This window comes from Homo sapiens, chromosome 2 (assembly GCF_000001405.40).
Source record: "Homo sapiens chromosome 2, GRCh38.p14 Primary Assembly".
Lineage (NCBI taxonomy): Eukaryota > Metazoa > Chordata > Mammalia > Primates > Hominidae > Homo > Homo sapiens.
In genome coordinates this window covers 195,582,295-195,594,776 of record NC_000002.12, presented here as the reverse complement: position 1 = coordinate 195,594,776, position 12,482 = coordinate 195,582,295, and the positions used below count along the sequence as shown (strand labels likewise).

Here is a 12,482-nt window from a genome sequence, read left to right as displayed (position 1 = left end):
AAGTCTCAGGAGACACATATCTAAATGCTTCCTTCCTTTTGTCATTTTCCCAGAACATTCAACCTCAGACAGTTTGACAAATAAGGTCAGAACTTGAACTTGCACACATTGATCATTAATTCTTCTGAAAGAAAATCGCTAATTAAGTGACAGTATCTTTAGAGTTTACAAATAGTGGAAAATAAGGCATTTTGGTTTCTGATATGAAAAAGGACACCTATCAGCAAATATCACTGGAAAGTTTTCCATTGTTTTTGGAAGAGATTACTCTTGTTTTCTCTTTCAGTATCTTATCTTCCTTCTTGTCAAACCTACCAACTCTGGTCTCTACCCTTTCAGTTTCTATATCAGGACAATGAACTTGCATAAGAATAGCTTTCATTAGTGGAGTATTAATGTTTTCTCTTTAGATAACTCAGGCTGTAACTTGACAATCAATAGCGGAAGTAATGATTTAGATCAGAGGTCGGCTAGCTTTTTCTCTAAAGGGTCAGCCTGACCTTTTAGAGAAAAGCTATATATATATATATATGTATTTTTTTTTTTTTTGAGATGGAGTTTCACTCTTTGTTGCCCAGGCTGGAGTACAATGGCGTGATCTCAGCTCACTGCAAACTCTGCCTCTCGGGTTCAAGCGATTCTCCTGCCTCAGCCTCCCCAGTAGCTGGGATTACAGGCGCCTGCCACCATGCCCAGCTAATTTTTTTGTATTTTTAGTAGAGACAGGGTTTCACCACGTTGGCCAGGGTGGTCTTGAACTCCTGACCTCAGGTGATCCGCCCGCCTTGGCCTCCCAAAGTGCTGGGATTACAGGTGTGAGCCACCGCGCCTGGCCCAGGTAATAAGTATTTAGGCTTTGCCAGCCATGTGGTCTCTGTGGCACCTACGCAACTCTGCCCTTGTCACACAAGCAGTCCTAGACAATGTGTAGACAAATGAGTGAGGCTGTGTTCCAATAAAACTCTACTTATAGCTGAAACTCAAATTCCATATAATTTTTATATGTCAGAAAATATCCTTTTGATTTTTTTCAACCACCGAAAAGTACACAAAACATTCTTAGCTTGCAAGTTGTAGAAAAACAGGCGATGACCGGATTTGGTATGTGGGAAGTAGTTTGCTTACGTTTGACTTAGAATCACACTAACCTATACTTCACCCTGTAATTGCTGTAAAAAAAAAAAAAAGAAGAAAGAAAGAAAGAGAGAGAGAGAGAAAGAAAGAAAGGAAAGAAAGAAAAGAAAGAAAGAAAGAGAGAAAAAGAAAGAAAGAAAACCAATCAAAATGCCATAAACTAAGTCTAAATAATTAAATAGTAATTTGGGGTTTTCATATTGCACTGTATTACACTGTTTGTATTGGTCCTCAGGAATCCCCGGGAGACTGCTTGAATTGTGTCTTTTAAAAATTTTCCGTAAAGTACTAATTGTGAGAAACGTAAGGGAGTCTAAGAGGGCATAGTTGTCATGAAACTGGCCTGCCGCAAATATAAAATTTCCTTCAAGTTCTATGTTTTGTCTTAAATGTTGTTGTAAATTTTCCATTCTATTCCATAATATTTCCCCTCAAATTTTCTAGAAAAGCTAAAAAAAAAATGCCTGTTTGTACAGATTCTTATGCTTACAGAGAGATGTGGTACTTTAATTTGAAAAGCCAAAGAGGCAAGCTTAGATAATAGCATAATCAAATAAAATTAAAAGGAAGGTAAAAATCTAGTTGCAGGGTCCTATGTATTTAGTTAAATAGCTTCTACCAGGAATAATTGTTCCTGGTAAACTGCTGCAATGACACCGTTTTTAAATGTAGCTTTTCTGTAAAAGAGGAAAAGAAGTATAATGCGATTAATATGTATAGAAACAATGACTTCAGAATGAAAAGAATATAGGAAAACAGTAGGATCAAATGCGCTGAATTGGAGTCTTCCATAAGTAACCAAAAGGACAACAAAGAAGCTAATAGCAGATAGCTTCAATTCTAAAAGAATGTACATATTTTAATTACCAAATAGCTCCAATTGCTTTTGACTTTTAGGTTCTTTCTTTTAGCCCTGCAATTTAGTGTGAGTCTTCTCCTCCAGACTTGGCAAGACTTACCGGTTGACTTTTTTCTGTTGTTTTTCACCCAAGACACCTACTTTTTCAAAAATTCAAACCAAAACCTTAAATCGGTTTTGATCCACTTCCAAAAGACTCTTCTGTTACTCGTGTGTGTGTGTGTGTGTGTGTGTGTGTGTGTGTGTGTTTGTAAGAGGGAGACAGGATCTCGCTATGTTTCCTGGGCTGGTCTCAAACCCCTGGGTTCAAGCTATACTTCTGCCTCAGCCTTCAGATTAGGTGGACTACAGATGTGCGCCACTGTGCCCCACTTCTCACCCATTTGATGCAAGCAGTTGATATTCTCTTTTAAGAATGTATCCCGAAATTGTTCCCTAAAGCTCACAACAGTCTTGTACCCTGGTGAGTTACCATGGTAACCCTCAGATTAGCTTCTGGAAAACAGTAACAAGGGTTTTATCCTATTTCCATCACTACATTACACAGCCTCATCCTGCCCTTTGAATCCTAACATGAGATCAGTGCTAATTTTTCTGCTTCAACTTCTTTTCTTTGAAGAGGTGAGATTAGGGGAAGAGGTTAACCTCTCTCTCCTTGAAATGACTACAATCAAGGAAAGAAACTTTGCCAAAATCCTGGAGTTAGCATTTTGCTTTAAAGGGTAGTTTTGACTTGGCTTTTGAATTTTTTGTATTAAATACTTTTTCTTTTAACCCAATGGATGAGTAAGTTAAATCTAGGGTTATGTTTTACAATATTGGGCACTCTACCTTCACGGATTTACAAATGAAGCCACAACCAATTAACTTTGGAAGGTCGCTGTCTTGAGAAGAATTTGGAATCCGACTATATACATTGCTTTTCCACAAGCCTTTAGTGGCTAAAGGAAGCAAGGCAAAGCATAGCAGAGCTAGAATAAAGACTTTCCAGGTATAGTGGCTCACGTCTATAATCTTAGCACTTTGGGAGGAGGCACGAGGATCATTTGAGCCTAGGAGTTTGAGACCAGCATGGGCAACGCAGTGAGACCCCATCGCCACAAAAAAATAAAAATAAAGGCTGGGCGCAGTGTCCCACACCTGTAATCCCAGCACTCTGGGAGGCCAAGGCAGGCAGATCACCTGAGGTCAGGAGTTCGAGACCAGCCTGACCAACATGGAGAAACCCCCATCTCCACTAAAAGTACAAAATTAGCTGGGCATGGTGGCGCGTGCCTGTAATCCCAGCTTCTCGAGAGGCTGAGACAGGAGAATCGCTTGAACCGGGAGGTGGAGGTTGCAGTAAGCCGAGATTGCACCATTGCACGCCAGCCTGGGCAACAAGAGCGAGACTCTGTCTCAAAAAAATCAATCAATCAATAAATAAAAATAAAAATAAAACAATTAGCCAGGCATGGTGGAGCACACCTGTGGTTTCAGCTACGTGCGAGGCTCAGCTGGGAGGCTAAGCTGGGAGGATCACTTGAGCCTAGGACGTTGAGGCTACAACGAGCTGTGACTGTACCACTGTACTCCAGCCTTGGTGACACAGTGAGACCCTGTCTCAAAACAAAAAACAAAAGACTGAACTTGCTGGCCCAGACAGAGGGCTTGTGGCTTTGCAGACTCTGAACCTTGATTCTTTCTGATTTAATCTTTCTACTTCCTTCGATCCAAAGGTCACTTCTTCTTAGCAGTTGCACAAGAGACACCATCCCACTTCCATGTCTAAAGTATAGGAAGAATAAGGAGAAACTGTGCTGGTTTGGTAGGTTGCCAAGCTTCCCTTTACTCTGAAGTATTACTCCTTATGCACAGCCTTTGATGTCAGGGTTTCTGTTCAGGGGTTCCTTGACATCTGAGAGGCCTTGATCTTTGTCCTACACAATTCCAGAATATACCCTTATTTATAAACACTATTGGTTTCCTTTGGTTTTATTTGTACTCAAACCAGGTTTCCAGACAAAAGCAAAGTCATGCCCTTCTCCCTTCTCCCATCCCCTGATGTGCCAACTCTTTAGTTGGCACACCTAGAAGTGTGCTGAGTGGTTAAGGCATTTGGCCAAAGGATAGTGAGCCAGAAATAGTTCATCTGTAAGCCAGGGTTTAGCCTTAATTTATTATTTTTATAAGAAGAAAATAATAAAATGCTAATGTTGGCTCCTTTGAAAGGCTTTTAGAATTAAGTACTACATACCATAAGGTCTGGGCAGCCTGCAAATATTCCATTTTATAAGTGTATATAGTAGTTTCTAAAATTTAGAGATTCAAACAGTGCAAAATACCTCTTGGTCTGCAAGTATTGCAGCTGCAATCAGGGACCTGCTAACAGCGGCCTGACATTACAGGTCATTGTTGTCCTTCAGGCCCTGTGTGTAGAGAGTGCTGTGTCTGAGGCTCACCTAGCCCTCTCTTTAGTTCTTGAAACCTCAATCTTAGAGTTTCACAGTAAATGATGGATTATTTACTTATATCAAAGTAATGCTTTGCCTACCTGAGGTACCTTTATGAGAAATTCTACCACATACAGCTTTATTTCTGGATACAATTTCCTAAACTATGAACATTTCAGTGTTGGCCATTGAGAAATGAGAAGAACTCCAGTTTGTGGTAATCAAAAAAGAGGAATATGGGAGATTGGGGATAGAAAACAGAGTTGAAGAGGATTAGCAAAGAGAAAAGAAGCTGAGAGGTGGACATTCCAGGTCTCTGAGATGCATGTGAATCGCATCCTAAGGAAAAAGGCAACTGAGACTTGAGTGGATAATCTAATATCCGAAGCCTCAGTGTGAGGTTAAGAAGGGAGTTTAAGACTAGATCAGCACAGGTTTTAGACAGGATTGAGAAATATCTACTAGGCTATATACAGTAGGTCAAATAAAGACAATCTGAAACTGGGCCAGGCGTGGTGGCTCATGCCTGTAATCACAGAGCTTTGAGAAGCTGAGGTGGATATGTACACCTGTAATTCCAGCTACTTGGTGAGGCTGAGTCTGGAGAATCGCTTCAACTGGGGAGATGGAGGTTGCAGTGAGCAGAGATCACGCCACTGCACTCCAGCCTGGGTGACAGAGTGAGACAATGTCTCAAAAAAAAGATAACCTGAAATTTAATTATTAATTATTAAAATTATTGTATGACAAACAGCCTGAAGATTGAATAAAAGACAAAAGATGCAAACACCACCACCATCACCCATGTCAATAGAAGAAAAACGAAACAAAATTCTTCCAGATTTACATTACTGATGTGTCATGGTTTCACTTAGTGTGCTCATTTCATTGATTTGTTTCAGTGAATGACAAAATAGTCATCAGGATTTCTCTAAAGCTACTCTTGACCTTCGTTTCTAGAATATTATTTCTTCAGGAGGTTTTGCCCTTCTAAATAACATACTTCAGGGCTGGGTGCGGTGGCTCACGCCTGTAATCCTAGCACTTTGGGAAGCTGAGGCGGGTGGATCACCTGAGGTCAGGAGTTCAAGACCAGCCTGGCCAGCATGGCGAAACCCCATCTCTAGTAACATTACAAAAAACTTCGCTGGGCATGGTGGCGTGCACCTGTGGTCCCAGCTTTTTGGGAGGCTGAGTCATGAGAATCTCTTGAACCCTAGAGGCGGAGGTTGCAGTGAGCCAAGATCGCGCCATTGTACCCCAGACTGGGAGACAGAGGGAGACTCTCTCGAAAAACATTATTTTTTAATAATTAAAAATAAATACATAACATACTTTTTTTGTTTTCTGTTTTGTTTTTGTTTTTTTTTTTTTTAATTTCAAGGCATTCAACAAGAAGTATAAATAACATACTTTCCAAGAGAGAAGTTTTCAGAAATCTAAACTTGGGATGGGCCTGCTCCTTTTGGGAGCAAGAATATTTTGAGCTGGAAGAGAGTTTGCACCAACAGAGTTAATTCACACTTCAGCCATTCCAATAGCCTGGAATCTGTGCTTCTATCCCAGGGACTGGACACCCCCCAGTACACTTAGCAGTTGGCACTGACCTAAAATGCCTACTGAGCAGTCTGGGCCTGTAAGTAATTTTCTTTTATTTTTAAAATTATACCCTTGCCACAGCTAATCTCAAGGTGCAACATATTAACATTTTTTTAAGACTACAAAGCAATTCCAGTGGAGGATATATAATATAAACCAGGATTTGAAAATTTTTTACCCATTTTCAGTGTTCAATATTAGTTTCCCAGAAGGTATTAAGTACTATTTAATGACCACAGTTTTGTCTCTGTATTGTACAACCTCTCTTTGTATTATCTTTGATTCTTCAACCTTAAGGCCAGCATCGTGAAAAGCGCACATGCTCTTTAAATGTTTTAATGTGCATACTTTACATTGTATGGAAATTTATCTGCATTTATTTTTATCATCTCTTGTCCTTCCTAACATCCTTTTACATTCACGTAATATTTTTCTGTTTCACCATTTCATAAAAGTGTTTTGCAGTTTGAATCAGTGCTTCTAAATGACTCGTTTAGAGTAGAAAAAACATTTTTTTGAGACAGGGTTTGGCTCTGCTGTCCAGGCTGGAGTGCAGTGGTATGATCATGGCTCACTGCAACCTCCGCCTCCTGGGCTCAAGTGATCCTTCTGCCTCAGGTTCCCGAGTAGCTAGGACTACAGGCCTACACAAACACATCCAGCTAATTTTTTTTTTTTTTTTTTTTGTAGAGCCTGGGTTTCACCAGGTTGCCCAGGCTGGTTTCAAACTCCTGAGCTCAACCGATCCAGCCTCCTTGGCCTCCCAAGTGCTGGGGCTACAGGTGTGAGCCACTGCTCCTGGCCTAGAAAAGTTTTTAGTGTTCAGTTTAACCCTTAGTTTTTCTGTATATATTCCTTCATCACATAATTTAGGTATTTGGGGGTTTAATGATCACTTTAAAGACATGAGGTCATGCTAGCAGTATATCTTTTTCATTACGATTTTATGTATTTTACTGATTTAATATTTTACTATTTCCATTTTCTAATCAGCCTGAAAATCTTTCTTGATCAAACTGCTTATTTTCTTTCTTTTTTTTTTTTACAGAATTACACACAAGCCTCAAACTATTTATAAGCTGCTAACCGAAGGACTTTAGTGTATCATCTACTGTGCAAATTACTGTGATGTTATGAACCATCAGCATAGACATATGCACCACTATCTGTGTCAAAATTATATATTTCACACAGAAGGAGCTAAAACTTTTTTGTTATTGTTTCCTTTTTCTCTTAATTCAAAAGTTTATCCAGAAAGTTGCCTGTAATCCCAGCACTTTGGGAGGCTGAGGTGGGCGGATCACTTGAGGGTGGCCAGGAGTTCAAGACCAGCCTGGTAAACATGGTGAAACCCCGTCTGTAATAAAAATACAAAAATTAGCCGGGCATGGTGGTGTGCATGCCTACAGTCTCAGCTACTTGGGAGGCTGAGGCACAAGAATTGCTTGAACCTGGAACGCTGAGGTTGCAGTGAGCCAAGATTGCGCCGCTGCACTCCAGCCTGGATGACAGAGCAAGACTGTGTCTAAAAAATAAATAAATAAATAAATAAATAAATAAATAACAGCTTATCAGGAAAGTTAAAAGACACATTTTTTTTTGCGCTTTTGTTTATTGCCTTAAATAATGTTGCCTGAGAATTGTGTCGTATATCCAACATTCTGCATGATCCTAGAATCTAGACCCTCATAATTGAAAGCAACATTGAGAGGAACAAATCAAATCTATAATCTTTGTCTTACTTGATTCCTCACAATTAAATTGTGTGGATCACACTACTGACTCATAAGCTATTAGATGGAACACCACATCACTTAGAGAGATGGCAAGGAAACCAGTCACCTCAGTTTTGTTTCATCTTATATTGAATTGCTTTTAAAAACATAGATCTAATAATTTAAGCTTCAAATAAATGATCTCCTGTGTATATATTAATATCTGTAATTCAGTTTTCTATGTGCCAAACACTTATTTTGTTACTAGACTTAGTCGTTCCTAGATTTATTTCTCTGCTAATAAGATGAGAAAGGAGGCTGGATGAGAGAATGTAGACAAGGTACACAAACCTTAGATTCAAAGTTGACAAAATTTTTCTTTGGGTAGTCAGTTTCTATTCTGTAGAAATTTGTATCTTCAACAAAATATTTCATTAATACACCAGAAGCACTCTACCATCCTTGAATCTTGGTTGGGTGCCAGCCCCACAACATCAAGTTCAAGTGCTTAAATAGTACAGAAATACACAGTCACGTCAGAGAGGCACTAAATATCCTTTGCCCAGCCTCAGTAATGATATGCCTTAAATCCAGGGTGGGTGGAACATAAGAAGACTTACCCTGGCAACAGCTCTTCAAGGTGCTCTGGGTCCAAAGAAGAATGCCAGTTGTGCTTTCCCTAAAATAAATCTCCCTCTGTGTTGGTAGGAAGAGATAGGATGAAAGGTCAAAATGGTCTGAGCCTACCTCAGCCTAAGGTATTCCTGTGATGAGCTTTTGGGAGGGGCTTGCTGTTACTAATTAGCATCACCATGGATCCCCATCAAATCTTAATCTACTGCAAATTTCTAGCTTTTGTAATTTTTATAGCTTGTTAATTCTCTCCATTTTTCTTAGCACAGATAAATTTTCCCTAAACATCCAAACTCCATTTTACAATTTTATCAAACTCTGTAGGGCTACAATTTTACACTTGAGAGATAACTGATGTTAAAACTTACACCTTTAAAGTGATGATTCTAAGGACTTTGCTGTGTAGTTTTCACTGCAAAATGAGCAAATGTCAAATAAAACAGTGCTGACTTTGTGAGTTCTTTCTCTTCAGAAGCAGCTTCCACATGATTCAAGAGTGGCCTTTTCTTTTTTCTTTTTGATTTTGACAGAGCCTCGCTCTGTTGGTCAGGTTAAAGTGCAGAGGCACCACTTGCAACCTCCGCCTCCCAGATTCAAGCGATTCTCCTGTCTCAGCCTCCCAAGTAGCTGGGACTACAGGGCCATGCCACCACTCCCGGCTAATTTTTGTATTTTTACTAGAGACAGGGTTTCACTATGTTGGCCAGGCTGGTCCCAAACTTCTGACCTCAAGTGATCTGCTCATCTCAGCCTCTCAAAGTGCTGGGATTACAGGCGTGAGCTACTGCACACAGTCAAGGATGGCTTTGTCATTCTTCAAGTCTACACACACCTTAAGTAAGAATTACTGAGGAATAACATTAGAACTACTGTAAGTAAGTAAGAATTACTGAGGAATAAAGTTAGAATTCCAGTGTCCTGTAGACGTCCTGTAATTCTGCAGGACGCTGGAATTCTAACATTTCATTTCTGTATGAAAATTGCGTTCTTAAGGAGAACAAGAGAGGTGGGGAGGGCAGGGCTTAGCTTTTAGTTTAGGTAAAACTAGAAGCCTCTGGAGGAAGTTTAGAACCCTTGTAGAACAAGCATCATCATTACCATCATCAGTAACAGTATTGCAACTGGTAATTTTATTTATTTTTTTGAGAGGGAGTCTTGCTCTGTTGCCCAGGCAGGAGTGCAATGGCGTGATCTTGGCTCACTGCAACCTCTGCCTCCCGGGTTCAAGCAATTCTCCTGCCTCTGCCTCCCAAGTAGCTGGGTCTACAGGCACGTGCCACCATGGCACCAGGCTAATTTTTGTAGAGACGGGGTTTCACCATGTTGGCCAGGCTGGTCTTGAACTCCTCACCTTGGGTGATCCACCTGCCTCGGCCTCCCAAAGTGCTGAGATTACAGGCGTCAGCCACTGTGCCCGGCCTACAACTGGTAATTTTATAGCAGGCTTACTGTGCACTAGTAAGACACCAGACATTGCACTAAGCATTTCACATGCATTATCTCATTTTAATCTTCCAAACAATCTTATAAAGTAGGGGCTATTATCTCTATTTAACAAAGAGGAAAATGAATTTATTGGAGTAAATTGGTCAGACTTACTGGAGATTAAGTAATGAGTGGTACTATGATTAAAATACAGAATAACTCTCATTATCTAAAACTGGACTTGCTGAGATCCAGTTAAAAATTAATTTAAACATTAACTTTTTTAATTTTAATTTTTTTGTTCTTTAAAATTAATAGAGAAGAGGTCTCACTCTGTTGCCTAGGCTGGTCTTGAACTCCTGAACTCAAGTGATCCTCTCAGACGTGGCCTCCCAAAGTGCTAGGATTACAGTCGTGAACCACCACACCTGGCCTTAATTTCTAAAGCTCATTTGATCTAGGCACTGAGTGTCTTGTGAACTTAATGAATTATCATGATCACGTTATATATTTAGCTTATAAATTTTTTTTAAATTATATATCTACTTCTGGTAAACCCTCTACAAAAAATACAAAAACTAGCCGGGTGCGGTGGCATGCCTGTAGTTCCAGCTACTTGGGAGGCTGAGGTAGGAGGATTGCTTGAGTCAAGGCTGCAGTGAGCCAAGATTGTGCCACTGCACTCCTGCTTGGACAATAGAGCCAGACCCTGTCTCAAAAAAATATTTATATATGCGTATACATATTTTTTATCTAATCCCTAATTCCCTGACCTGATATTCAAAATGAATCAAAAGTATCAATTTATGAACTGTTTACTTATGAGAAATTATATAATATATAAACCTAAACTGCTCTGCCCGGAACAGCCTGTGCTGTGTCTGTCCCTAGTCGGAGGCCCGGCCCCCTTCACCTGTGTCCCCCACTCTATGCAGAAGTGCTTCCAGCATGTCTGACAAACTGCCCTACAAAGTCACTGATATGGATCTGGCTGCCTGGGGACACAAGACCCTAGACATTGCAGAGGATGAGATGCTGGGCCTGATGTGCAGGTAGAAGTTGCACTCAACCTCCAAACCACTGAAAGGCACCTGCATCGCTGGCTGTCTGCACATGGACTGTGGAGACCGCCGTCCTCATTGAGACCCTCATCTCCCTGGGTGCTGAGGGGCAGTTGTCCACCTGCAACCTCTTCTCCACCCAGGACCATGCGGCACTGCCATTGCCAAGGCTGGCATTCCAGTGTATGCCTGGAAGGGAGAAACAGACGAGGAGTACCAGTGGTGCATCCAGCACACAGTGAACTAAAAGGACGGGCCCCTCAATGTCATTCATTCACACCAAGTTCCCACAGCTCCTGTTGGGCATCGAGGCATCTCCCAAGAGACCCTGACTGGGGTCCACAACTTACACAAGATGATGGCCAATGGGATCCTGAAGGTGCCTGCCATCAATGTGAACGACTCTGTCACCAAGAGCAAGCAAGCATCCCTCACAGATGGCATCATGCAGGCCACAGAGGTGGTGACTGCCAGCAAGGTAGTAGTGATAGTGGGCTATGGCAATGTGGGCAAGGACTGTGCCCAGGCCCTCAGGGGTTTTGTGGATCATGTCATTGTCACCGAGATTGACCCCATCAATGCACTGCAGGCTGCCATGGAGAGCTATGAGGTGACAACCATGGACAAGGCCTGTCAGGAGGACATCTTTGTCACCACCACAGGCTGTAATGACAGCATCCTTGATTGGCACTTTAAGCAGATGAAGGATGATGCCGTCATGGTAACACTGGCACTTTGACATGGAGATTGATGTCGAGTGGCTCAACAAAAATGCTGTCGGGAAGATGAACATCAAGCCCAGGTGGACCGCTCCTGGTTAAAGAACGGGTGCTGCATCATCCTGCTGGCTGAGGGCTGGCTGGTCAACCTGGGTTGTGTTATGGGCCACCCCAACTCTTTGATGAGTAACTCCCTCACCAACCAGGTGATGGCACAGATTGAGCTGTGGACTCACCCAGACAAGTACCCCATTAGGGTTCACTTTGGGCCCAAGAAGCTGGATGAAGCAGTGCTTGAAGCCCACTGGAGCAAGCTGAATGAGAAGCTGACCAAGCTCACTGAGAAGCAGGCCCTGTACCTGGGCATGTCCCGTGATAGCCCCTTCGAGTCTGATCCCTACTGCTACTGAGAGCCAGGCCTTCCCTCTACTTTCTAGCTGCTGTGCTTCCCTGGACCCCGCCTCTCCTGCCCAAGAGCAAATGGCACCAACTTTATGATTGGTTTGTCAGTGTCCCCCATTGGCACCCTGAAGTTGGTCACTTAGTTTTTGGACTCTGCTGCATCCCTCATACTGTTACAAATGTGGCAGGGGGAATTCAGAGGCCCCTCCTGAAGCCCTGGTTATGATGGAGGTATAATGGAGACAGCCAGAGGGAACCATGAGCTCAGTGGTCTTGGAACTGCTCACTAAGTCAGTTCTTCACTAGCCTGGAGGTTGATAGTGGGGTCACAAAACCCATACATTTTACCATCTAGGCCTTCACCAGGCCTATGGAGTTATACCCATGTGTTTGTTTATAGGCTCAATGGTTCCTAAGTCCATGACAGCTGAGAAGGAGCTATATCCAAGGGCAAGGAGGAACTGTTGGAGTTGGAATGTTCCTGAAAGCCTGGTTTAGTGCTG

General features: G+C 41.8%; 1 pseudogene, besides 2 other annotated features; it reads left to right on the top strand.

Moving 5' to 3' along the window:
- Positions 6,209–6,708: an enhancer, noted in NCBI's record as "H3K4me1 hESC enhancer chr2:196452793-196453292 (GRCh37/hg19 assembly coordinates)". NCBI's record gives its function as "activates a minimal SCP1, AML or CMV promoter by ChIP-STARR-seq in naive H9 embryonic stem cells {active_cell/tissue: H9 hESC(naive)}" and the evidence as "EXISTENCE:reporter gene assay evidence [ECO:0000049][PMID:30033119]".
- Positions 8,259–8,848: an enhancer, noted in NCBI's record as "OCT4-NANOG-H3K27ac hESC enhancer chr2:196450653-196451242 (GRCh37/hg19 assembly coordinates)". NCBI's record gives its function as "activates a minimal SCP1, AML or CMV promoter by ChIP-STARR-seq in primed H9 embryonic stem cells {active_cell/tissue: H9 hESC(primed)}" and the evidence as "EXISTENCE:reporter gene assay evidence [ECO:0000049][PMID:30033119]".
- Positions 10,654–11,995, top strand: AHCYP5 (adenosylhomocysteinase pseudogene 5; annotated as a pseudogene).